Source organism: Homo sapiens, chromosome 19 (genome assembly GCF_000001405.40).
Source record: "Homo sapiens chromosome 19, GRCh38.p14 Primary Assembly".
NCBI lineage: Eukaryota > Metazoa > Chordata > Mammalia > Primates > Hominidae > Homo > Homo sapiens.
In genome coordinates this window covers 38,971,548-38,998,333 of record NC_000019.10, presented here as the reverse complement: position 1 = coordinate 38,998,333, position 26,786 = coordinate 38,971,548, and the positions used below count along the sequence as shown (strand labels likewise).

At 49.1% G+C, this 26,786-nt stretch overlaps 1 protein-coding gene across 2 annotated transcripts in view, besides 3 other annotated features; it reads left to right on the top strand.

Annotated features, from left to right (window-relative positions):
- Positions 1,751-1,810: an enhancer, noted in NCBI's record as "active region_14607". NCBI's record gives its function as "activates an Ori minimal core promoter by ATAC-STARR-seq in GM12878 lymphoblastoid cells {active_cell/tissue: GM12878}" and the evidence as "EXISTENCE:reporter gene assay evidence [ECO:0000049][PMID:35858748]".
- Positions 20,046-20,145: an enhancer, noted in NCBI's record as "active region_14606". NCBI's record gives its function as "activates an Ori minimal core promoter by ATAC-STARR-seq in GM12878 lymphoblastoid cells {active_cell/tissue: GM12878}" and the evidence as "EXISTENCE:reporter gene assay evidence [ECO:0000049][PMID:35858748]".
- Positions 20,596-20,645: an enhancer, noted in NCBI's record as "active region_14605". NCBI's record gives its function as "activates an Ori minimal core promoter by ATAC-STARR-seq in GM12878 lymphoblastoid cells {active_cell/tissue: GM12878}" and the evidence as "EXISTENCE:reporter gene assay evidence [ECO:0000049][PMID:35858748]".
- The window catches only part of FBXO17 (F-box protein 17), a 34,342-nt gene continuing 30,147 nt past the window's right edge, over positions 22,592-26,786 (top strand). For both annotated transcript variants that reach the window (NR_104026.2, NM_024907.7), the window contains exon 1: positions 22,592-22,748. The gene's annotated coding sequence lies outside the window, so the exon portion shown is untranslated. The remainder of the gene's footprint in view (positions 22,749-26,786) is intronic.

Here is a 26,786-nt window from a genome sequence, read left to right as displayed (position 1 = left end):
TGGTTTTTATTGGCTGGGCATGGTGGTTCACACCTGTAGTCCCAGCACTTTGGGAGGCTGAGGCGGGAGGATCACTAGAGTCCAGGAGTTTGAGACCATCCTGGACAACATAGTGAGACCCCCGTCTCTACAAAATATTAAAAAACTAGTCGGGCCCAGTGGCATGCACCTGTAGTCCTAGCTACTCAGGTGGCTGAGATGGGAGGACCTTTTTTTTTGGAGACAGAGTCTCGCTCTGTCACCCAGGCTGGAGTACAGTGGTGCAATATCAGCTCCCTGCAACCTCTGTCTCCTGGGTTCAAGCAATTCTCCTGCCCCAGCCTCCAGAGTAAGCTGGGATTACAGGCATGCACCACCATACCTGGCTAATTTTTGTATTTTTAGTAGAGACGAGGTTTCACCATGTTGCCCAGCCTGATCTCGAACTCCTGAGCTCAGGCAATCTGCCTGCCTTGGCCTCCCAAAGTTCTAGAATCACAGGTGTGAGCCACCGTGCCTGGCCAGGGGAGGATCTCTTGAGCCCAGGAGTTCAAGGCTGCAGTGAACCATGATTGCACCACTGCACTCCAGCCTGGGTGACAGAGCAAGATCCTATCTCAAAAAAAAAAAAAAAAAAAAAAAATGAGCTGTTATCTTGGAAGCTGAGAGTGATCTTCACCAGAAACTGAATCTTCTGGCACCTTGATTTTGCACTTCCCAGCCTCCAGAACAGTGAGAAAATAAATTTCTGTTTTTTGTAAATTACCCAGTCATAGATATGTTGTCACAGCAGCACAAACAGACTGAGACAGTGATGTTCTGCCTTTATGAACATTCCTAGGGGGCCACAGAGCAACCAGAGGGCTCTTGATTGCCTTCATGGGGGTCTGGAGTGGGAACTCTCTATCAGCCGAACAGGTCATTTAAATGTTAATTTTGTTTTGTTTTGTTTTGAGACGGAGTCTCGCTCTGTTGCCCAGGCTGGAGTGCAGCAGCACGATCTCAGCTCACTACAACCTCCACCTCCCGGATTCAACCAATTCTCCCACCTCAGCCTTCCAAGTAGTAAGGATTATAGGTGCGTGCCACCATGCCCAGCTAATTTTTGTATTTTTTTTTTAGTAAAGATGAGGTTTCCCCATGTTGACCAGGCTGGTCTCGAACTCCTGACCTCAAGTGATCCTCCCGCCTCAGCCTCCCAAAGTGCTGGGATTGCAGTAAATGTTAAAATCTTCTACACTGCTTGTTGAGTGTTCACTGCCAAGTGCCCTCCTTTCTTTTGCTCCTTCTTTGGAGTTTCCTTGTCTCTCCATAATCAAAGGGGCACACAAGGGAGTGTCTGAGACCCTAATCAGGTGCCCCAGCCTATGTCAGCAATGATGGCCACCGCCATACCATGCCATTATTAAACATTGTAGATGTCACCTTGTTCCTACTGTGGCAGATTCTGTTACTTGCAGGCCATCCCCCACTTCCTGGCTAACAGAACCTAGCTATTTTTTTCTTTTTTTTTTTTTTTTGGTGCAGCCATGTGCCCAGCCGTGGATGATGAATTAGAATACACCAGACGTAGCTGGGCACAGTGGCTCACGCCTGTAATCCCAGCACTTTGGGAGGCCGAGGCGGGTAGATCACCTGAAGTCAGGAGTTCAAGACCAGCCTGGCCAACATGGCAAAATCCTGTCTCTACTAAAAATACAAAAAATTAGCTGGGCATGGTGGTGGGTATCTGTAATCCCAGCTACTTGAGAGGCTGAGGCAAAAGAATTGCTTGAACCCAGGAGGCGGAGTTTGCAGTGAGATGAGATCGTGCCATTGCACTCCAACCTGGGCAATAGAGCGAGACTCCATCTCAAAAAAAAAAAAAAAAAAAAGAATACACCAGATGTGGCTAGCTTGTTCCCCTTTGCTGGATGTTTGCTTTCACAGCCTCCTTTGCAGCTAAAGGTAGCCCTTTGACCCAGTTCTGCTCAAGAAGGCATCAGGGGAAGTGTGCTGGGCGCCCTTCCCTTCCTATGTCTTCCTGCCTTTGTGTGTGAAGTTATGGTCCCAGCCGCTGAGGCTGCCAACCTCTAAGACAAACACCAACATGCTGAGGGTGATGGAAAGGAAGAGAAGCAGGCTGGCTCCCTGAAGACATAACTGAGCTGCTAGACCAACCCCAAGATCCCAAGATAGCTTATCTCAAGAGTGCTTGTTAAATAAACAATAAGTACCCTTGTATTAGCAGGCCCCAATGTTAACTGGACTTCCTGCTGCTTGTAACCAAAGTCCTTTTCCCTGATCCAGCATCCTCATAGGATTGCGGGAGGTTCAATTAAACGATACATGAGCAGCCAGGTGCAGTGGTTCATGCCTGTAATCCTAGCACTTTGGGAGGCCAAGGCGGGCAGATTGCCTGAGCTCAGGAGTTCGAGACCAGCCTGGGCAACATGGCAAAACCCTGCCTCTACTTAAAATACAAAAAATTAGCCAGGTGTGGTGACGGGTGCCTGTAGTCCCAGCTACTCAAGAGGCTGAGGCATGAGAATTGCTTGAACCTGAGAGGTGGAGGTTGCAGTGAGCTGAGATTGTGCCACTGCAATCCAGCCTGGGTGACAGAGTGAGACTCTGTCTCAAAAAAAAAGATACATGAGCAAGCTTAGCACTGTGCCTGCCATCATGTCATGGTAGAAACTAAGCAGCATCCCCACAGCCTTTCTTCCCTTCTTCCCTTTAGTTGTAGTGTTCCCTGAAATTTAGCTGTGTCAGCTGAAGAATGATGAGGTTCATACACTTGGAAAGGAGAGCTTTATTTCTCATAAGGGGTTGCAGCCTGCAGGTGGTCTATTCTGACAAGCTCAGAAGTGTAGCCTCTGGCCAGAAGCCAAAAACAGGCACTTTGAAGGTGGGAAGATGAAGACAGGGGTTTATGCTGAATGGGGTGGCCAAATATATATATTCAACAGGTTACAGGAGGAGCTATGAATATTCACAAAGGGGAAACGTGTGCATGCATAGTAGGCCAACATATGCACATGCATCCCATGTTCATCTGGGGTGAATATTTAAATGTATTACAATTTAACATTTAAACACATTACAATTAGGCCCTATACATCAAAAGGTGAAGCAGAGGGTTGGGTGCAGTGGCTCACACCTGTAATTCCAGCACTTTGGGAGGCTAAGTCAGGCAGATCACTTGAGGTCAGGAGTTCAAGACCAGCCTGGCCAATATGACGAAACCCCGTCTTTACTAAAAATACAAAAATTAGCCAGGCATGGTGGCAGGTGTCTGTAATCCCAGCTACTGGGGAGGCTGAAGAAGGAGAATCGCTTGAACCTGGAAGGCGGAGATTGCAGTGAGCCGAGATCCCACCACTGCACTGCACCCCAGCCTGGGAGACAGAGTAAGACTCTCTCAAAAAACAAACAAACAAAAACAAAAGGCGAAGCCGAGGTCATGAGGGCCCTCAGTGTGCAAACTCTGTAGACTGGCCAGAACCACTCTGTGACTGATAGTATCTTATCACGAAGGAATGCTGGTCAGTTGTGTCAAAATCACAAAACAGGTAGCATCGGGCAATTGGTTGATATCAACAGTGGAATGAGCCTTTCAAAAAGGCTGGTTTGGCTGGGCATGGTGGCTCATGCCTATAATCCCAGCACTTTGGGAGGCAGAGGTGAACGGATCATTTGAGGTCAAGAGATCGAGACCATCCTGACCAACATGGTGAAACCCCGTCTCTACTAAAAATACAAAAATTAGCTGGGCATGGTCGTACGCACCTGTAGTCCCAGCTACTCGGGAGGCTGAGGCAGGAGAATCGCTTGAACCCAGGAGGCGGAGGTTGCAGTGAGCTGATATCATGCCACTGCCCTCCAGCCTGGCAACAGAGCGAGACTGTCTCAAAAACAAACTAACAAATAAAAAACAAAACACAAAAGGCTGGTTTCTGTTCAACCCTCAGGGAAGAAGAACTAATGGAGGTTAGTGAGGGAGGGGGTGATATTATTAGGCTGTGTCCCCACCCAAATCTCATCTTGAATTGTAGCTCCTATAATTCTCACGTGTTATAGGAAGGACTTGGGGGGGATAATTGAATCATGGAGGCGGATTCACCCATACTGTTCTCATGGTAGTAAATAAGTCTCACAAGATCTGATTTTTTTTTTCTTGAGCTGGCTTTGTTGCCCAGGCTGGAGTACAATGGTGTGATCTCAGCTCACTGCAACCTCTGCCTCCCAGATTCAAGTGATTCTCCTGCCTCAGCCTCCCAAGTAGCTGGGACTACAGGCGTGCACCACCACACTTAGCTAATTTTTGTATTTTTAGTAGAGACGGGGTTTCTCCATGTTGGCCAGGCTGGTCTCGAACTCCCAACCTCAGGTGATCTGCCTGCTTCAGTCTCCCAAAGTGCTGGGAATACAGGCATGAGCCATCGCGCCTGGCCAAGATCTGATGATTTTATAACGGGGGACCCCTTTCACTTGGTTCTCATTTCTCTCTTGCCTGCTGCCATGTCTCTACTAAAAATACAAAAATTAGCCAGGCGTGATGGCATGTGCCTATAGTCCCAGCTACTCAGGAGGCTGAGGCAAGAGAATCGCTTGAACCCGGGAGACAGAGGTTGCAGTGAGCTGAGATCACGCCATTGCACTCCAGTCTGGGTGACAAGAGCAAAAATCCGTCTCAAAAAAAAAAAAGGATGGGGATTGTGGAGTGGTGAGGAGAAATGGCAGGGAGCTGTGAGAAGAAGGGGCTGAAACTGTCTGTCACCTATCCATTAGCCATCCCCACTTCCTGTCTAATACAGCCTTGAGTTTGTTGGCATCTCCTCCCATTCCCAAGTCTGGAAGGAAATCCTGATGGTTTAGATATCAGGGTGATCCTGGTTCCTCTTGCCAGTGTGCATGTGACTCAGCTCTGATCCGTGACTCAAAAGGAGAAGCCCTTACGGTGGCTTCTGGGAAATGCTCTCAATGCAGAGACTGGGATCTGTGTTCATCAAGCCCTGTCTTGTTTTCCTTCTGGGCACACAGAGCCTGACTACACTTCCAAGCCTCCTCTGCAGTTCAGTAGAGAATGTGGGCAGGAGTGACGTGTTACGTTTCTGGGGCTGACCCACAAATATCTCCCCCATAACTCTCCATGCCCTCATCCCTCTCACCTGCTGGACTGATCCAGTGGAATATTATGAGGCCTGGGAGGATGGTGGGGCCACTAGATGGAAATAGCCTGGATCCCTAAATGACTGCGTGGAGTAGAGCATCTGCCCAGGCAGCCTGGGCAATAACAGGAATGAGAAGTAAGCTTTTACTGTGTGTCCCCATCTTGCCCACAATAAAGCCTCTTGCCCAGAGCTCCCTGTGTTCCCTCTGCCTCCTGACCTACCCTGGTGAGTCCCTGTGTGGTCTCCATAGTATGGCATGTCCCCTCCTCTTGGAATTTGTAAGTACAACAACCTTCCTAATAACTGTCATCTCAGGATCTCTTGGTTTTACTATACCCAAATAATAATAAAGCCTGTGTTAAAATATTGTCCCAGGACCACAGGCCCTTGTATACTGTTCAATGCACACATCCGGATGCCTTTCCCAAAAGTGGGTACCATGTGGAAGAGGAGATGATGCAGAGAGGCCTGCAGCCTCAGATCTGAGGCTCAGATTCCTCTCCTCCTCCCTCACCCCTCCTTTCTCATCTCTAGCCCAGACCCACCTAACTGAACAGCCAAGATATGGTGGTGATCATTTGGAGCCTTGTCCAGAATCCAGACACAGCTGCAGTCCTGCACATCACCCCACCTGGCACTGTGAAGATCTGGCTGTGTCTCAAAAAAACCCCACCAGATCTGGCCGGGAGCAGTGGCTCATGCCTATAATCCCAGCACTTTGGGAGGCCAAGGTGGGCAGATCACTTGAGGTCAGGAGTGCGAAACCAGCCTGGCCAACATGGTGAAACCCCGTCTCTACTAAAAATACAAAAAAAAAAAAAAAAAAAAAAGCAAGGTGTGGTGGTACACGCCTGTAGTCCCAGCTACCTGGGAGGCTGAGGTGGGAGAATCGCTTGAACCCGTGAGGTAGAGGTTGCAGTGAGCCGAGATGACACCATTGCACTCCAGCCTGGGCGACAAAGCAAGACTCTGTCAGAAAGGAAAGAGAGAGAGAGAGAAAGAAAGAAAAGGAGAAACCACCAGATCACCCACAAATGGACAGGAAGCAGAGAAGGGCTTTGGCCAGGCGGAGGTTGGTCTCTGCTCTGCCACTCTTTGCCTGGAAAACCCTGAAAAGGTATTTTTTCCCTCTGAGCCTGTTTCCCCGTCTGTAAACTGTTTCCCCATCTGTAAACAAAGAGAGGTGATGATATTCAAGAGGCTTAAAAACAGCACAGTGCGGCCGGGCATGGTGGCTCATGCCTGTAATCCCAGCACTTTGGGAGGCTGAGACAGGCAGATCAGCTGAGGTCAGGAGTTCAAGACCTGCCCAGCCAACACAATGAAACCCTGTCTCTACTAAAAACATGAAAAGTAGCCGGGTGTGGTGGCAGGCACCTGTAATCCTAGCTACTTAGGGGACCATGGCAAGGAGAATCAGTTGAACCCGGGAGACAGAGGTTGCAGTGAACTGAGATCGTGCCATTGCACTCCAGCCTGGGCAACAGAGCAAGATTCTGTTTCAAATAAATAAATTAATTCATTAAATAAAATAAACAACACAGCCCAACCAAGCAGAATGGGGTGGGGTGGGGGTCTTGAGCCATGAACAATCTGGGCCGAGCTGTCCCGCATTGGTGGATGATGACAAGGACTAAGTGAAATTCCTGGGTCCGGGGTGAGCCACTGTGATGATTCTCACCCAGGTCACTGTCCAGAGGCTGCATTCTTGGCCAATTCTCTTGGAGGTCCGCCAGCTCCTCGTGGCACCAGCTGGGAAGAGGAAGGAGGGAAGGAGATGGGCAGGAGAGGAGGTGGAAGAAGGGCGGGTTTCATTCTCAGGCTCTGAAGCCCAGGGCTGGTGAGGCAGGGGTCGGGCACTCACTCAGTAAGTCACAAAGCAGGTCTGGGAGCCTGCGAGGGTCCCTTCTCCCCAACATGTCATTGCCACAGTGCTGCAGATCCCAGGCGTCCTCTGCAGGACCAGGGAGTAAGGGAGGCACCAGCCCCGGGCCACACACCCTTACTGGCCGGGCTGTGCCTGTCCCTGCTACTTGGACTTAGTAGCCTTGACCCTGTCCTTGGGAAAGGCTTTGAGCCCTTCCATGATTACATCATCATCCCTGGAGGAACACTGCAAAGTCTTAGCTCCCCTCCTTCCAGTCATCCCTGCCAGGCTCTGGCTGCCCCGTGGTCACCCGGCCACACTCCCAGACTTCTCCAGGGCAGTAAAGAACTCAAGCTAAGTCTTGAAGAGGTAGAACCTAGAATGATAATTTTCAATTTTTAGATCATGACCAACGGATAAAAGTCACAACCAGCACAATTTTTAAAAAATGAAATTCAATAGAAAACATCAGAGTGCACTGCACACAGCAACGGGTAAACATTGCTGCAGAAATTCTACTTTCAGGTGTATTGATTGTTGTGTAAAATACATTTCTTTTTTTTTTTTTTTTAGATGGAATCTTACTCTCTCACCCAGGCTGGAGTGCAATGGCACAATCTCAGCTCACTGCAATCTCTGCCTCCCAGGTTCAAACAATTGTCCTGCCTCACCCTCCCGAGTAGCTAGGATTACAGTCGCCCGCCACCACACCTGTCTAATTTTTGTATTTTTGTAGAGACAGGGTCTCACCATGTTGGCCAGGCTGGTCTTGAACTCCTAACCTCAGGTGATCCACCCACCTCGGCCTCCCAAAGTGCTGGGAGTACAGGTGTGAGCCACCGCACCCGGCCAGAATGCATTTCTTACTCAGACTATGGTTACAAAATGTAGAGAAACATTGGCCTTGAAGTTCATAGCACATACCCAGAAAGATTTTGCAACCTTCTGAACCTATTCAGATTCCGCACGCCATCTTCAGGGAGCGGCACTCTTATTTCACCAGCTGCCAGACCCAAGAGCCTGGCCTTGTCCTGGACTCCTGTCTCTCCCCATTTCTCACACCAAATCCAGTCCAGCAGCAAATCCTTTTATCTTTCCTTCAAAGGACATTCAGAACACGCCTGACTTCTGCCATCATCCCTCAGACAGGATCATCCCGCAGCTGGGTTATCACTCCTCCACCTTCGAGACAGCAGAACCCTAAGAGAGCGCACTGCACATAACAGGTGTTAGGCTGGGCGTGGTGGCAAACACCTGTAATCCCAGCACTCTGGGAGGCTGAGGCAGGAGGATCACTTGAGCCCGGGAGTTCAAGACCAGCCTGGGCAACATAGTGAAACTCTGTCTCTATTAAAAAAATAAAAATAAAAAAATTAGCTGAGTGTGGTGGTGTGCACCTGTAATCCCAGTTACTTAGGAGGCTGAGGCAGTAGGAATGCTTGAGTGTAGGCGTTGGAGGCTGCAGTGAGCTATGATGGCACCACTGCACTCCAGCCTGGGCAACAGAGTGAGACCCTGTCTGAAAGAAAGGAAGAAAGAAAGAAAGAAAGAAAGAGAGAGAGAGACAGAGAGAGAAAGAAAGAAAGAGAGAGAAAGAGAGAGAGAAAAAAGAAAGGAAAGAAAGAAAGAAAGAAAGAAAGAAAGCAAGAAAGAAGGAAAGAAAGAAGGAGAAAGAGAGAGAGGGAGGGAGAGAGGGAGGGAGGGAGAGAGGGAGGGAGGGAGGGCTGCATGCAGTAGGCGCTCATCTGTGGATTGACTGGTGGCAGGGCTGGGCTTGGAGATTGCTTGGCCAGCCTCCTCCCTCTGTCCCCCTCCAGCCTGCCCAGAGCCTGTTATTTGATCTCCCCCAACATGGGCTCCTCGCCTCCCCTCCTCCAGGTCTCCAGACTCTGAGGTTTGTAAGCTGAGCCTGGCAGCCACACACGGTGCCGCCCCTGGGCTGGTAGATGACAGATGAGTTGCATCCCCCTTGCACTCTGTTGACATTATGAGAGCTGATCCCTCCCAGGAACAATCTACAGCCTCCCCAAGGGGCCCCCTGAGACCTGCCTGTTCATCTCTGGGTCACAACCCCAACATCAGCCTGGCCAGGAGGAAAGCTGGCCGAAGGGGTGACAGGCAATATCATCGGCCTGCCAGGCATCATGTAACTACTCTCAGGGGCCGTGGCCAGGCCAGACGGTGAGATGGAATGCAGAAAGAATGCAGAATAGAGCTGGGCGACAGAGAGACCGGCTGATGCCAGTCCAGCCGCGAGCCACCTGGGTAGCTACAGACTTCCCTCTAATGTCACTGGTTAGGAAAGTGAGCTGATGGTACACCATGAACCCAGACTGAAGGCCAGAGGACCAAACCTTTGTAGCCCATGAAGCCCATTTGTTATGGTAACAATTTTAGAAGGGCTCAGCAGCATTTTTGAAAAGGTTGTTTTGTTTTGTTTTGTTTTGAGACAGGGTCTCGCTCTGTTGCCCAGGTTATAGTGCTATGGTGCAAACACACCTCACTGCAGCCTTGACCTCCTGGGCTCAAGCGATTCTCCCACCTCAGCCTCCCACGTAGCTGGGACCATGGGTGCATGCCACCATGCCCATCTAATTTTTTAAATTTTTTGTAGAGACGGGGGTCTCCCTAGGTTGTCCAGGCTGGTCTCAAACTCCTGGGCTCCAGTGATCCTCCTGCCTCAGCCTCCCAAAGTGCTGGGCTTACAGGTGTGAGCCACCATGCCAGGCTAAGGTTTTTTTTCCGTAACTAGAAAGTCAGAACTCCCTTCCCAATAATAAATTATCTGGCCAAGAATTAATCTCACCTAGCTAGCAAAATTGTTATCTTTTCTCTTTCTTTCTTTTTTTTTTTTTTTTTTTTTTTTTTTTTAGGAATAGAGACAGGAGGCCAGCACTCCTGTGAGGTGAGACAGGAGGTGGCTCACACCTGTAATCCCAGCACTTTGGGAGGCCAAGGTGGGTGGACCACTTGAGGTCAGGAGTTCTAGACCAGCCTGGGCAACATGGCAAAACCCTGTCTCTACAAAAAATAGAAAAATTGACTGGATGTGGTGGCACGCACCTGTAGTCCCAGCTGTTCGGAAGGCGAAAGCAGGAAGATCACTTGAGCCCAGGAGGCTGAGGCTGCACTGAGCCATGATTGCACCACTGCACTTCAGCCTGGGCTGCAGAGTGAGACCCTGTCCCCACCACAAAAAACAATAATAAATAAGAGGCCGGGCGTGGTGGCTCACGCCTGTGATTCCAGCACTTTGGGAGGCCAAGGCAGATGGATCATTTGAGGTCAGGAGTTCAAGACCAGCCTGGCCCACATGGTGAAACCCCATCTCTACTAAAAATACACAAAAAAATTAGCTGGGCGTCATGGCAGGTGCCTGTAATCCCAGCTACTCCAGAGGCTGAGGCAGGAGAATCACTTGAACCCGGGAGGCAGAGGTTGCAGTGAGTTGAGATCACGCCACTGCACTGCACACTCCAGCCTGGGCAACACAGCAAGACTCCATCTCAAAAAATAAATAAATAAATAAAATAATAACAAATAAGAACAGAGATAGGGTCTTGCTTTGTTGCCCAGGCTGATTTCAAACTTCTGGCTTCCAGTGATTCTCCCACTTTGGCCTCCCAAAGTACTAGGATTACAGGCGTGAGCCACTGTGCCTGGCCAATAAAATTGTTTTCTTATGTGTCTTTTCATGTTCAGCCACGAAGCCTTAAAATTGAATACAGAGATGAAGGAAATCAAAGCCCCAGAATTAAGACTTTTATATTATATTTAAGAATCATCAGGCCAGGCACGTTGGCTCAAGCCTGTAATCCTAGCACTTTGGGAGGCTGAGGCGAGTGGATTGCCTGAGGTCAGGAGTTCAAGACCAGCCTGGCCAGCATGGAGAAACCCCATCTCTACTATAAATATAAAAACTAGCCAGGAGTGGTGGTGTGCACCTGTAATCCCAACTACTTGGGGGGCTGAGGCAGAAGAATCGTTTGAACCCAGGCGATGGAGGTTGCAGTGAGCCAAGATTGCACTACTGTACTCCAGCCTGGGCGACAGAGCAAGACTCCATCTCAAAAAAAAAAAAAAAAAAAAAGAATCATCTGGGCTATTTGGTGTTTTAAGTATTTGCAATGTATAAAAAAATTTGGGCCAGGCACAGTGGCTCATGCCTGTAATCTCAGCACTTTGGGAGGCCAAGATGGGCTGATCATGAGGTCAGGAGTTCAAGACCAGCCTGACCAACACGGTGAAACCCTGTCTCTACAAAAAACACAAAAAATTGGCCGGGCGCGGTGGCTCACGCCTGTAATCCCAGCACTTTGGGAGGCTGAGGCGGGTGGATCACAAGGTCAGGAGATCGAGACCATCCTGGCTAACACAGTGAAACCCCGTCTCTACTAAAAATACAAAAATTAGCCAGGCGTGGTGGTGGGTGCCTGTAGTCCCAGCTACTCGGGAGGCTGAGGCAGGAGAATGGCGGGAACCTGGAAGGCAGAGCTTGCAGTGAGCCAAGATCATGCCACTGTACTCCAGCCTGGGCAACAGAGTGAGACTCCATCTCAAAAAAAAAAAATTTAGCCGGGCGTGGTGATGAGCACCTGTAATCCCAGCTACTCGGGAGGCTGAGGCAGGAGAATTGCTTGAACCCGGGAGGCAGAGGTTGCAGTGAGCCAAGACCACACCACTGCACTCCAGCCTGGGCAACAGAGCGAGACTCCGTCTCAAAAAAAAAGGAAGGGAAGGAAGGGAAGGAAAGAAGGAAAGGAAGGAAGGAAAGGAAGGAAGGAAGAAAGAGAGGGAAAAGAAAAGAAAGATCATAATCATAATTGCACCATTACACTCCAGCCTGGGCAACAGAGCAAGACCCTATCTCAAAAAGAAAGAAATAAGAAAGTAGGAGAGAGAAAGAAGGAAAGAGAGAAAGAAGGAAAGAAAGAAAAGAAGGGAGGGAGGAAGGGAGGGAGGAAGGGAGGAAAGAAGGATGGAAGGAAGGAAAGAAGGAAGGAAGGAGGAAGGAAGGAAGGAAGGAAATTTACATTCTCTCCTAGGAATGTGTATTTCTAGTGGTAGGGCAACCCACCACTAATACACATGAAACTGGTCATGTAAACATGCTCTTCTCTTTCTCTCCCCCAGGGAAATATTGTCTGTGAAGCAAGATTCTCACATTTCTTTTCAAATCCTCTTCCCATGGGCTAGCCCCTCTGGGAATGCACAGGTCCCTGGTGACCCAGCTGGCCAGCTAGACCAAAGCCACTGGCTGCCTTTCTTTTTGAGCCTGGATCTTCAAAGGAGATCCACTTACAAACTGTCTTAGTCCCTTTGGACTGCTGTAGCAAAATACCATAAGCTGGGTATTTCAATAAACAACAGAAATGTATTTCTCACCGTTCTGGATGCTGGGAAGTCCAAGACCAAAGCACCAGTAGATTTGGTGTCTGGTGAGGGCACATTCTCTGGTTCATAGATGGTGGGTTTTTTTGGTTTGTTTTTGTTTTTGTTTTTTTGACACAGGGTCTTGCTCTGTCCCCCAGGCTGGGGTGCAGTGGCACGATCTCAGCTCACTGCAGCCTTAACTTCCCGGGCTCAAGCGATCCTCCCACTTCAGCCTCCTGAGTAGCTGGGACTACTGGCACCCACCATCACACCTGGCTAGTTTTTATATTTTTTGTAGAGATGGGGTTTCACACTGTTACCCAGGCTGGTCTTGAACTCCTGGGCTCAAACAATGCTCCCTCTTCAGCTTCCCAAAGTGCTGGGATTACAGGCATGAGCCTCAGTGCCCAGCCCATGGTGCCTTTGGACTCTGTCCTCAAGTGGCAGAAGGCGAGAACTCTGGTCTCTTCAATCCCTTACAAGGGCACTAATCCCATTAATGAGGGGCCCACCCTCAAGTGCTAATTACCTCCTGAAGATCCCACCTTTTAATACCATCACACTGTGGATTAGCTTTCAACACAGAAATTTGGGTAGACACAAACATTCAGGCCACAGCACAAATATTTGACATCTGGCAAACACTGACTTATAAAAAATCTATGCCCAGGCTCACACCTGGAATCCCAACACTTTGGGAGGCCAAGACAGAAGGATCAGTTGAGGCCAGGAGTTTAAGACCAGCCTGGGCAACCTAGTGAGAACTCGTCTCTACAAAAAATAAACAAAACATTATCCAGGCTCCGTGGTACATGCCTGTAGTCTCAGCTGCTCGGGAGGCTGAGAGGAGAGAATCACTTGAGCCAAAGAGGTTGAGGCTGCAGTGAGCTATGATTATGCCACTGAGCTCTAGTCTGGGCCACAGAGCAAGACTCTGTCTCAAAAAAAGAAAAAAAATGCTATGCCCAGTGTTCCCCCGGGAAGTATTATTTGCAAAGTCACGACCTGAGCCCATGGTTTTCAGAGATCCCCTGACACCAACAAGCAACTCCCCAGTCTCTACTGTCTGGATTCAGCAGGGTCGATGCCAGGGAGGACCAAAATCCCAGAATCATGGCAGGCGGAGAGCACAGAGGGCCAACACCTTTCAGTGAGGTGCAATTAACAAAACTTAATATATACAAAGTCTTAGGAAACCTCTGCCCAGAGAAGGGGGCATCTGAGTGTAACTGTGTTTCTTGTGCTTGTGAATGGGGTATCCTGGGGTGGTGATTAAGGGCTCCGGGGTCAGACCAGACTTCACCGAGGTTTTTTTTTTGTTTTGAGATGGAGTCTCACTCTGTCATCCAGGCTGGAGTGCAGCGGCACGATCTCGGCTCACTGCAACCTCTGCCTGCCCGGTTGAAGCGATTCTCCTGCCTCAGCCTCCCGAGTACCTGGGGTTACAGGCATGTGCCACCACGCCAGGCTAATTTTTGCATTTTTAGTAGAGACGGGTAAATTTTTGTATTTTGAGTGATCCACCCACCTCAGCCTCCCAAAGTGCTGGGATTCAACGCGTCAGCCACCGTGTCCGGCCATCGTTTTTGTTTAAAATATTTTTTAACACCACAGCTTCTTTCACATATTAATTTACTCATTCATTCCACAAATATATATATATATATATAATTTCTTTTTTTGAGACAGAGTCTTGCTCTGTCACCCAGGCCAGAGTGCAATGGTGCGATCTTGGTTCACCGCAACCTCCACCTCCCAGGTTCAAGTGATTCCCCTGCCTCAGCCTCCCAAGTAGCTGGGATTACAGACATGTACCACCATGCCTGGATAACTTTTTGTATTTTTATATTTCTTTATTTATTTTTTTTTCTGAGATGGAGTCTTGCTCTGTCACCCATGCTGGAGTGCAGTGGCACTCTCTCTGCTCACTGCAACCGTTACCTCGATTCTCCTATCTCAGTCCCCCAGGTAGCTGGGATTACAGGCACCCGCTACCACGCCTGGCTAATTTTTTGTATTTTTAATAGAAATGGAGTTTCATCATGTTGGCCAGGCTGGTCTCAAACTCCTGACCTCAGGTGATCTACCCACCTAGGCCTCCCAAAGTGTTGGGATTACAGGCGTGAGCCACTGCACCCGGCCTAGGCTTCTCTGTTTCTTAGCGCTATTGTCTCTACTTGTTTCTTCAGGGTAGCAAAGGTCCCTATTCCAGAGAGTTGCTGGAAGAATTAGATGTGATACTGTACCTAGATCTCTTAGCCCAGAACCTGGCACTTAAGATTTTATTTTATTTTTATTTTTTTTCTTTTTTATTTATTTATTTTGGCACTTAATATTTTAGAACTAATGATTATAAAATGTGATTAGATAACAACTACTAGAATGATGACCACTATTATTATAAAAGAACTATGGTCCGAGCCAGACATGGTGGTTCATGCCTGTAATCACAGCACCTTGGGAGGCCGAGGTGGGAGGATCACTTGAGGTCAGGAGTTCAAGACCAGCCTGGGCAACATAGCAAGACGACAGGCGTGGTTGCTGATGCCTGTATTCCCAGCACTTTGGGAGGCCGAGGATTACTTGAGGTCAGGAGACCAGCCTGGCCAACACCAGTGAAACCCCATCTCTACTAAAAATACAAAAAAATTAGCTGGGTGTGGTGGTACATGGCTGTAGTCCCAGCTACTAGGGAGGCTGAGGCAAGAAAATTGCTTGAACCTGGGAGATGGAGGTTGCAGTGAGCCAAGATCATGCCATTGCACTCCAGCCTGAGCAACAGATCAAGACTCCATCTCAAAAAAAAAAAAAAAAAAAAAAAAAAAAAAGAGCCCAGGCATGGTAGCTCACGCCTATAATCCCAGCATTTTGGGAGGCCAAGGCAGGTGGATCACATGAGGTCAGGAGTTTGAGACCAGCCTGGCCAACATAGTAAAACCCCATCTCTACTAAAAATACAAAAATTAGCCAGGCGTGGCAGAGTGCACCTATAATCCCAGCTACTTGGGAGGCTGAGGCAGGAGAATTGCTGGAACCCAGGAGGTGGAGATTGCAATGAGCCAAGATCGCACCACTGCACTCCACCCTGGGTAACAGAGTGAGACTGTGTCTCAAAAAAAATTTAAATAAATAACTATGGTGTATGGTAGACTGAATAATCCCCCCTTCTGCCAAAATTATCCAGGTCCTAACCTCTGGAATTTGTGAATGTTTCCTTATATGGCAAAAATAACTTTGCAGATATAATGACGTTAAGGTGGGTGGGGGGATCTTTGTTTTTTAGAGACGAGGTCTCCCTACGTTGCCCAGGCTGGTCTCGAATTCCTAAGCTAAAGTTATCCTCCTGCCCCAGCTTCCCAAACTGCTGAAATTACAGGTGTGAGCCACCACACCTGGCCGAAGTTATAGGTTTTGAGACAAGAAGATTATCCTGGAGTATCTAGGTGGGAGGCAACCCAGACCCCCACACGGCCTCCTGTGACACCCTTGCAGACAGTAGTCTCTCCAGGTGGCATGTGGCTTGAGAATTTTTTTGGAGCTTACTCTATGAGTCTGTGCCTGTCTAGGTATTGTGGCTCACGCCTGTAATCCCAGCACTTTGGGAAGCTGAGGCGGAAGGATTGCTTGAGCCCAGGAGACCAGCCCTGGGAACATGGTGATACCCTATCTTTACCCCAAAAAAAAAAAAAAAAGCCAGGTGTGGTGGTGCACACCTGTAGTCCCAGCTACTTGGGAGGTTGAGGTGGGAGGATCACTTGAACCCAGGAGGTCGAGGCTGTCATGAGCCATGATCATGCCACTGCACTCTAGCCTGGGCAACAGAGCAAGACCTTGTCTCAAAACAAAACAAAAAAAAGTGTGTGTGTGTGTGTGTGTGTGTGTGTGTGTGTGCCTTCAGTTCTGTGTGTGTGTGTACCTGTCTCTATCCCTACCAGGGGTTGTGTCTCTATGTCTCTATTTATATCTAAATGGATATTTTTTGTGCCCTACATTTTCCAAGAGGATTCCTTGCAAGTTTCCTTTTTTGTTCAGAAGATCTTCCTGGCCGGGCACGGTGGTTCACACCTGTAATCCCAACACTTTGGGAGGCTGAGGCAGGTGGATCACATGGTCAGGAGTTTGAGACCAGCCTGGCCAATATGGTGAAACTCCATCTCTACTAATAATACAAAAATTAGCCAGGCATGGTGGTGGGCGCCTGTAATCCCAGCTACTCAGAAGGCTGAGGCAGGAGAATTGCTTGAACTCGGGAGGCGGAAGTTGCAGTGAGCCGAGATGGCACCACTGCACACAGCCTGGGCGACAGAGAAAGACTCTGCCTGAAAAAAAAAAAAAAAAAGATTTTTCTCTATCTGGTAAGCTTTTAATTTTTAACTTTCTGCCCTCCAACTATGCACATCTTCACAGTGCAGATGTATCTCTAATTGATTAACTGGGTCCCTTGACAGCCATCACTAAGGCAAAGCTGGACTGCTTTGTTTTGGGCATTTCTTTTGTCTTCTAAAGGCTCATAATGTAGGAGTCTGCAGGGCCAGGCTCCCGGCTGAGTGCTTCGAGAGGATCATCCCAGGAGTTGCCACCGATGCAGGATTTTTCTCAGCCACATTGCTGCCCAGAGACCTCTGGCCAGCAATGCCACTGCCCTGGCCTTGCACTGTTCCCAGGTTTGTTGCAGGAGGCACCCTGCCCACTCAGCCCACCAGGGCACAGCTGGATTGCACTCTGGCATGGATCCCACAGCCACCGTGACTTTGCACTCAGCCCCTGGGTGGGAGGGGGTGTGTGAACTAGCAAGTGTGGGGTCCCACTGGCCCCTGCAAGCACTGACACAGGGGCAGGCTCCATGTAGGGTTTGTGGCTGGACCAGGTGTGTTGCAAGCGGCTCCCACTGTGTACTCTGGCGTTCAGACAAGGAGAACACGGCGGCACCCAAACAGGGAAGCCCATGACCCTGAAGTCCCAGAGGTGGTGTTATAGCATGCTAACAGCTCTGTTAGTCCCTCCACAGCCTGACGAAAGGAGGCATGTTAGTAGTTCTGTTATGTTGCCCCACTCTGGCCTGTAGCTCCAGGGCTGGCCTGGTCTTGCCACTGCTTTCTGTTGCATGGGGTGGCCGCTAGGCACCAATCGTGGGGAGCTATGGTGCTACTGCCTTCTTTGTACCTACATTCGGCAGGGTCCCAAGTTCTTGTCCCACGTCCAAGAAGAATGAGATCACACTTACAATCCAAGGGTGAGAAGGGTGGAGAAGATTTTTATTATTAAGTGACATAAAAGCTCTCAGCAGAGAGGGGATGTGAGGGTAGTCCCCCACCTGAAGTCAGGTGGTCTCTCCCTCAGTGTGGCTGGGTCTGGGGCTTTTATGGACTTAGAATGGGGGAGTGCATGCTGATTGGTTTGTGAGTATGCAAAAGAGGCTAAAACAAAGGCACCATTCAAAGATGGGCATGACAGTGTAAAAAACCAATTACGGGCTGGGTGTGGTGGCTCACACCTGTAATCCCAGCACTTTGGGAGGCCAGGGCAGGCAGATCACCTGAGGTCAGGAGTTTGAGACCAGGCTGGCCAACATGGTAAAACCCTGTCTCTATTAAAAATTCAAAAATGAGCCAGGCGTGGTAGCGGGCACCTGTAATCCCAGCTACTTGGGAGGCTGAGGCAGGAGAATTGCTTGAACCCAGGAGGCGGAGGTTGCAGTGAACCAAGATCATGCCACTGGACTCCAGCCTGGGCAACAGAGCGAGACTCCATCTCAAAAAAAGAAAGAAAAGAAAAAAAAATTAGGGAAGGGTAGGTACATGTAAAATAGATGAAGGGTGGGGAGGAATCAGAGGAAAGTGCACCAAACAGGAAGACAAGTTCTCAATCTGGTCCGTGGATTTATCTGAGACTTGCAGCTTGGCCTTCAGGCTTAAAACTGTCTTTGGCTTGAAGATGAGGTTTCACTGGGGAACCACCCCTATCTGCCAAGGGATTTGACTGCCTCCTGCCACTATCACCACCACAGATAACCACAAGCCAGGATATTAACGTTATGGATGATGGGCCCAGGCAATGCACTGCACAAGGTAAGGGACTGTGAGAACACGTGCCCTATAGCGTAGGCCATCTCTCCAGAGGCTGGAAAGTTAGATTTGTATGTGACATCCGTCCATTTTTCACTGTTTGCAATAATTGCACCATTTTTTTTTTGAGTCGGAGTCTCACTTTGTCGCCTAGGCTGGAGTGCAGTGGAGCAATCTCAGCTGACTGCAGCCTCTACCTCCTGGGTTCAAGTGATCTTCACACCTCAACATCCCAAGTAGCTGGGATTACAGGCATCTGCCACCACTCCAGGCTAATTTTTGTATTTATATTTGTATTTTTTTATATTTATTTATTTTTGAGACAAACTTTTGTTCTGTCACCCAGGCTGGAGTGCAGTGGCACGATCTCAGCTCACTGCAACCTCCGCCTCCTGGGTTCAAGTGATTCTCCTGCCTCAGCCTCCCAAGTAGCTGGAACCACAGGTGCCCTCCACCACACCTGGCTAATTTTTGTATTTTTAGTAGAGACAGGATTTCACTATATTGGCCAGGCTAGTCTCAAACTCCTGACCTTCTGATCCGCCCGACTTGGCCTCCTAAAGTGCTGGGATTACAGGAGTGAGCCACTGCACTGGCCCATTGCACCATTTTTAAAACACAACACCTGACCAGTAATTGCAGAAAAATGGGCAAAGGTGATTAATGACAAACTATGTAGAAAGAAATGCAAATAGCTCTTAAACACATGAAAAGATGACCAATGTCCTCATCTTAGGAGAAATGCGAAGGAAGATACCAGGGCAATACCTTTTTTTGTTTTCTTTTGACTTCTTAGATAGGCAAAGATGTAAACTTCGTTTGTTTGTTTGTTTGTTTTGAGACAGAGTCTTGCTGTGTTGCCCAGGCTAGAGTGCAGTGGCACAATCTCAGCTCAGTGCAACCTCCGCCTCCTGGGTTCAAGCAATCCTCCTGCCTCAGCCCTCCTAGTAGCTGGGACTGCAGACACATGCCACCACACCCAGCTAATTTTTGTATTTTTAGTAGAGACGGGGTTTTGCCATGTTGGCCAGGCTGGTCTCAAACTCCTGACCTCAGGTGATCCGCCTGCCTTGGCCTCCCAAAGTGTTGGGATTACAGGCGTGAGCCACCGCGCCCGGCCTGTTTATTTGTCTTGAGATAGAGTCTTGCTCTGTCACTCAGGCTGGAGTACAGTGGCACCATTACAGCTCACTGCAGCCTTAACCTCCCAGGCTCAGGCGGTCCTCCTGCCTCAGCCCCCCAAGTAGCTAGAACCACAGTCACACACCATCATAGCCAGGTAATTTTTAAATTTTTTGTAGAGATGGGGGTCTCACTATGTTGCACAGGCTGGTCTTGAACTCCTGGTCTCAAGTGATCCTGCTGCCTCCCAAAGCACTAGGATTACAGACATGAGCCACCGTGCCCGGCCAATGTAAACATTTGATAACACATCAGATTGGCAAATGTCAGGGCCTCCTAGTTCAGTTCTTCTTGGTTGATGGGAATGACAGTTGAGGTTTTATTGTGATAGAAGGCTTTAGATTTAATTGGGTAGAAACAGGCCTTGCTCAGCAGAAAGAGCTGCAAAGTAGGCACATCAGCCTGCACCATGTGAGGAGACACCAGGAACAAATGTGACTCCGAGGGAAAGCACGACCAAGACCATAAATAAAACCTCTCTTCCTGTTCAGATCCAAGCACATGGACAGGCTCTGAGTGACAACCGCATTCAGTGGGCTGCCCTGCTAGAGGTTCCCCAGGCCTCTCCACCGGTCCTGAATCATCAGCCTTCCTGAAACTGGCTCTGACCTAAAGCCGAAACCTCAGCAGGTCTGAGGCGGTTACCAGGGCTCCTTATATTGGGTGAGTCAAATCACACTCCCTGCAGGAAAGGAGTCTAAAAACTAGAATACCAATAATAAAGAAACAAGGCCAGATGCAGTGGCTTATGCCTGTAATCCCAGCATTTTGGGAGGCCAAGGCAGGCGGATTGTTGAGCTAATGAGTTCGAGACCAGCCTGGGCAGCATGGCGAAACCTCATCTCTACAAAAAATACAAAGATTAGCCGGGCATGGTGGCGTGCCCCTGTAGTCCCAGCTACTTGAGGGGCTGAGGTGGGAGGATCACTTGAGCCCAGGAGATCAAGGCTGCAGTGAGCTGTGATCATGCCACTGCACTCCAGCCTGGGTAACAGAGCCAGACGCTGACTCAAAAATAAATCAATAAATGAAAAATAAACAATTCCACTTTTTGTAATAATAACAATAAAGAAACAAGCTCAAGTCCATGGGTATCAGCACACTGGTGACACGTGTCAGCACAAGTATGCATTAGCTTTGTAATCATTATAATAACACACAATTGCTTTGTCTATTTGTTAAGGTATTTACAACAATCGCAAACATCTGACATTAGATTTGGGAAGGCTTTAAGCGATGGCTTTTGGAAGGAATGTTGAAATGATTAGGGAAATCTGGTTTCGAGGAAGACTTAGAGGAACAACTGTTTAATGTTTTATCAAAGAACAAAGATTAGTTAGTATTCTTGTCCCTACATATGCAAGCCCCTGGATGTCAGAGAATTGAGCAGCATGAAGAAATGGCTACTTACGGCCAGGCGTGGTAGCTCACGCTTGTAATCCCAGTACTTTGGGAGGCCAAGACAGGCAGATCACCTGAGGTCAAGAGTTCGAGACCAGCCTGGCCAACATGGCCAAACCCCCTCTCTACTAAAAATACAAAAATTAGCCAGGCGTGGTGGCGCGTTCCTGTAATCCCAGCTACTCGGGAGGCTGAGGCACAAGAATTGCTTGAGCCCGGGAGGTGGAGCTTGCAGTGAGCCAAGATCTAGCCACTGCACTCCAGCCTGGGCAACAGAGCGAGACTCCGTCTCAAAAAACTAAAATAAAATAAATAAACCCCCCAAAATCCGGAATGCAAAACAAACCTAGGCCTACGCCTTTCACATAAGGAACTGCGTGTGGATCTGTGCTAAAAACTCTACCAATAATACAGTAATTTTACAACCCACAGCAGAAAATGCTTTCAAAGGCGGTTGTTACAAATAATGTAATAGTAGTCAAATTAGCGTTGGCTCTGAGTCCAGCACTGTGCTCCGCGCTGCACACGCAGTCTCACGCCGTCCTCACGATGGCGCTGTGGGGCCTGGCTGAGGTTTCTAGGGGAAGGGGCTTTAGGGAATCCAGGCTCTCTGGCTGTGTGACCCCTCCAAGCTAGCGACTTGGACTACGTGCAACAGACCAGGTATCTCTGGACTTCAGTTTCTCGGGAGAGGCGTCCATGAGGAGGTCATGCATACAAAGCATTTAGCACAGTGGCAGATATGAGCCAGTGGGCCTGGAGAATGATTTACCAGCGTGGGGGAGGCCTGGCTTCCAGAAAACTAGCTCTGGGGTGTCTGAGATCAGTCACCTTGAGGTCCCTGGTGCAATCTAGGGCCATCAGAAGGGACTGCAAAGACCCAAGGGCAGAGGTAAAGGGAGAAAATGGGTCGCGGCCCCAGCCTGACCGAAACTGAACCTCCGGATTAATTCAGTTGTCTATAGCTGGGGGGATGGGGAGGACAGGGGAGTCCTAAGGTGGAAGGGTACAGGTTTGTCATTGCCACAGAGAGTGCGTGTGGTGAAGGGATTTAATTTAAGATCAGCCCCGGGCTTCTGAGAATCTGGCCCTGGGAAGCAACGTAAATACAAGAAAATCCCTGTGGCCAGGGACTTTGATCCAAGTGTTTCGAATCAGGCCCTGGGTCGGGCTCACAGCTAAGCGGTTTACCAACCGTGGACCTGTGCAGGATCCCATGGATGTGAGGGGTGGAGACGGCCGCAAGCAGGAGGCCAGGACCAGAAGGAAACGGAATTTGGGTGGGGGTGGGGAGCTAGGACCAGTCCCCCCGCGGGGGCGTCTTGGGGATGTGGAACTCGCACACCCAGAGGAGGTGGCTCTCCCAGGGGTGGGCCCCGGATCCTAGGGGCGCGGGGCTGGCCCCGCTCCCCGCTGGCCTCGCGGCAACTGGGCCTCCCCCTCGCTGCACGCAGCCCTCCAAGCTCCCCCGCCCGCCCGCCCTCGCTCCCGCTGGGCCCCGCAGCCGGAGGAGGGGCGGCCTCCCGCCCCCGCCCGCTGGATCTCAGAGTCGCCGCCCCCGGCGCCGGGCTGCAGCCGCCACGCCCCGGGAGAGGACCGACCGCCCAGACCGCCGGTCCCGGGGCCCCCTGGGCCACGCCGATCACGGGGAGCCCCTCGACTGCCTCCCAGAACAAAGTGGGAAAGGGAAGCTTAGCCCGCCGCTGCCGCCTCCGAGCAGCCCGCCAGGTGAGCGCCGGGACAGGTAGGGGACCCAGGTCGGGACCCAAGCGTCAGTCCCGTTCTCGCCCACAGCTGGGGCGCCCCGGGAAGGATTCCCGCGCCAGGCCCTGCCCGGAGGGGCGGGTCCCTGGGAGTCCCATAACCCGCAGCGTCGCTTTCCCGGGCCCTCCCTCGGCCTGAGGCTCCTTTAAACCCAAAGTTATACAAATGCACGTTAGAAAGCCCTAAATCTGGAAGGGCTTTGCTTTGAACGTGGGTGTTCGAACGCCCAGGCCTCTCCATCCCTGCGCTCGTCCGCGGAGGCCACCATCCAAAACCCCTGCCAAACGCTGCAAACCAACACGTGGGCGCAACAGCCCGGGGAAGGCCAGGCCGCTTTTTACCGTTGCTGGATTTTCTGTCTTCTGGCCGTCAGTCCCTTCGCAGAATCTGTGAATCAGAAGCCTTGGAGGGCGGTTTCTCGATTTAGCAACTTGGGCACATTATGTGTTTCGCTGCGGCCCCAACCCTCAATTTAAATTTTGTTCTGCCAAGTTACTTTTGCAATGTTCAGTGATATGTTCGAAAGCTCTGTATACTGCCTCTTCAACTTTAGACAGCGTCTATTTACTCCATATTTTGAAAGACAAATATTATGGGAGTCTAGTTGTAAAATAAATAATACTTCTTTAAAAATGTTCCAGTAATACACGACACTCAGACACGTAGGACAGGACAGAGCTTTGCATGGAAAACAACACGCCTTTAAACAACAACCTCTCCCTCACCACCGCCCCCAACCCCTGTCGGCCAAATACATTTTTTTGTTAACTACATTACTTTTCAAAAATGGCAAGAAGTAACTCGTGATCGCTGGTGCCTCGTTTTTAACTTTTTCCACTTTTTATTCCTCTGGTATCTATTTCCAAATCTTTACAGCATATTTTTGGATTGTTATTTCTTATTTCATCAACTTTTAGACAACGCGTCCATGGATCCCTTGCTAAAAATAGGAGACAACTTTGATCATCTCCGTGGTTTTCCTCCTCCCTATATAATCACCTCCCTGTATAGTCAGGACATTACTTTCGGCTTCTCTATTGGCTACTTTTCTAACATAAAATAATTTTTTTAACTTGTATTTATTGTTCCATTAAATATACCTAGTATCTGTTGACTCTCTTTTTGTAAGGCTTGGCTAAGGAGCTTCTTTTTAAAAAATATATTTTTAGGCCGGGCGTGCGCGGTGGCTCACGCTTGTAATCCCAGCACTCTGGGAGGCCGAGGCGGGCGGATCACCTGAGGTCAGGAATTCAAGACCAGCCTGGCCAACATGAACCCCGTCTCTACTAAAAGTACAAAAATTAGCCAGGCGTGGTGGTAGGCGCCTGTAATCCCAGCTACTCAGGAGGCTGAGGAAGGAGAATCGCTTGAACCCTGGAGGTGGAGGTTGCAGTGAGCCAAGATTGTGCCATTGCACTCCAGCCTGGGTGACAAGAGCAAGACTCTGTCTCAAAAAAAAAAAAACTATATATGTACATATATATATGTGTGTATATATATGTGTATATATATATATGTATATATATATATACACATATATATTTGAGACCCTGTCTCAAATCAAATCAAATCAAATCAAAACTGTGTTGCCCAGGCTGGAGTACAGTGTCGTAATCATGGCTCACTGCAGCCTCAACCTCCTGGGCTCAAGAGATCCTCCCACCTCAGCCTCCTGAGTAACTAGGGCTACAGGTGCACGCCCCCCCACCAAACCCCACTAATTTTTTTATTTTTTGTGGATACGGGGTTTTGCCGTGTTACCCAGGCTGGTCTCGAACTCCTGGGCTCAAGCCATCTGCTCGTCTTGGCCATCAAAAGTCCTGGGATTACAGGTGTGAGCCACCGGCGCCCAAACAAAAAGATATATTTTTAAAATAACATTTTTGTATTTATGTAAATATTAATTTCTTCAATTCTAATCAAATTCTACATATGGCTTAGAAATCAAATAGAAAAGTTTGCCTTAATTTTTTCTATAATAAAAGTATGTAATCTCTTTTAGAAGAATGGAAAACGAAGTGTTTTAGATTAAAAGAGATGAGTGAGACCTGCCACCCCCACTGGTGTTTGAGCCCCCACGGGGATCTTGTTAGGAGGAAACAGCCACAGAAGACCTGCTAGAGACAGCAGGGGAAATTGTTCACGGAGTGGGTATTGATGGCAGAATGAATTTTTGAGGCAGAATCTCTCTCTGTCGCCCAGGCTGGAGTGCAGTGGCACAATCTCGGCTCACTGCAACCTCCACCTCCTGGGTTCAAGCGATTCTCCTGCCTCAGCCTCCCTAGTAGCTGGGATTACAAGCATGTGCCACCACGCCTGGCTAATTTTTTTGTATTTTTAGTAGAGATGGGGTTTCACCGTGTTGGTCAGCCTGGTCTCGAACTCCTGACCTCGTGATCCACCCGCGTTGGCCTCCCAAAGTGCTGGAATTACAAGCGTGAGCCACCACGCCTGGCCAGGTTGCCCTTAATCTTAGGAGATTCATTAGGAAGTACTGAAGAGTAGTTCATCAAGGCCGCCAGGCCGGTGACTTATGCCTGTAATGCCAGCACTTTGGGAGGCTGAGGAGTTCGAGACCAGCCTGGCCAACATGTTGAAACCCTGTCTCGACAAAAATAAAAATTTAGCAGGGCATGATGGCGGGTACCTGTAATCCCAGCTACTTAGGAGGCTGAGGCGGGAGAATAGCTTGAACCCAGGAGGTGGAGCTTGCAGTGAGCCGAGATCGCGCCATTGCACCCCAGCCTGGGCGACAAGAGCAAAACTCTGTCCAAAAAGAAAAGAGAGAGTGCAAATATGGCAAAATATGGAGCAGATAGTGATGTTCATTTGATTACTCTTTCAACTTGTCTATAGAATGAAATTTCATAGTAAAAATTGGGAGAAAATAAAGTAAGATTATTTTGAAACAAAGAAAGAGACAGAAGACATGTATACAGTAGCACAAACTATGGAGTCCAATATACCAAGATTCAAATCCCAGCAGGTTTTTTTTTTTTTTCTTTGAGATGGGGTCTCACTCTGTCGCCCAGGCTGCAGTGCAGTGGCACAATCACAGCTCACTGCAACCTTGACCTCCTGGGTTCAAGCAATTCTCCTGCCTCAGCTTCCTGAGTAGCTGGGATTACAGGTGCGTGCCACCACACCCAGCTAATTTTTATATTTTTAGTAGAGATGGGGTTTCATCATGTTGGCCAGGCTGGTCTCGAACTCCTGACCTCAGGTGATCCACCTGCCTTGGCCTCCCAGAGTGCTGGGGATAACAGGTGTGAGTGAGCCACTGCTCCCGGCCTAGTTTTTTTGTTTGTTTTTTTCTATCATTCTTTTCCCTTGGTCCCAGCTTATAAAACCCACCATTCTCTTACTACCCAGTGGGGGTCTCAGTCTGTTTTGTAAAATGGAGGCTGCCCCATTCAAGAATCTTGAATAAAAGCCCATTAGATCTATAACTAAATTTGTTGTAATTTTGTCTTTTGACATGGCTCTGTTGCTTCTTTGTTGGGTGACCTTGGGCACGTTGCTGTCATCCTCCAAGCCTCAGTTTCCCCATGTGCCTACTTCATGGGGTGGTTTGAGGCTTCTGTGAGATTTTGTAAAGCAATTCCCACATGCCTAGAGCAAAGTAAGTGCTCAGTTAACAGTAGCTGTTAGTATTCTGTGAAGGCATCTCCTTAACTATTATAGCCTGTTCACCTATGACTAACACTGTCAACATAACTGCTGCAGCTGGGCCCTTTTTCTTTTCTTCTTTTTTTTTTTTTAATTGGCACAGGGTTTCACTCTCACCCAGGCTGGAGTGCAGTGGCACAGTCTTGGCTCACTGCAGCCTCAACTTCCTGGGCTCAAGTGATCCTCCCACTTCAGCCTCCCGAGTAGCTGGGACCACAAGTGCACACCACCATGCCTGGCTAATTGTTAAATTTTGTTTGTAGAGACAGGGGTCTCACTATGTTACCCAAGCTGGTCTTAAACTCTTGGGCTCAAGCCATCCTCCTGCCTTGG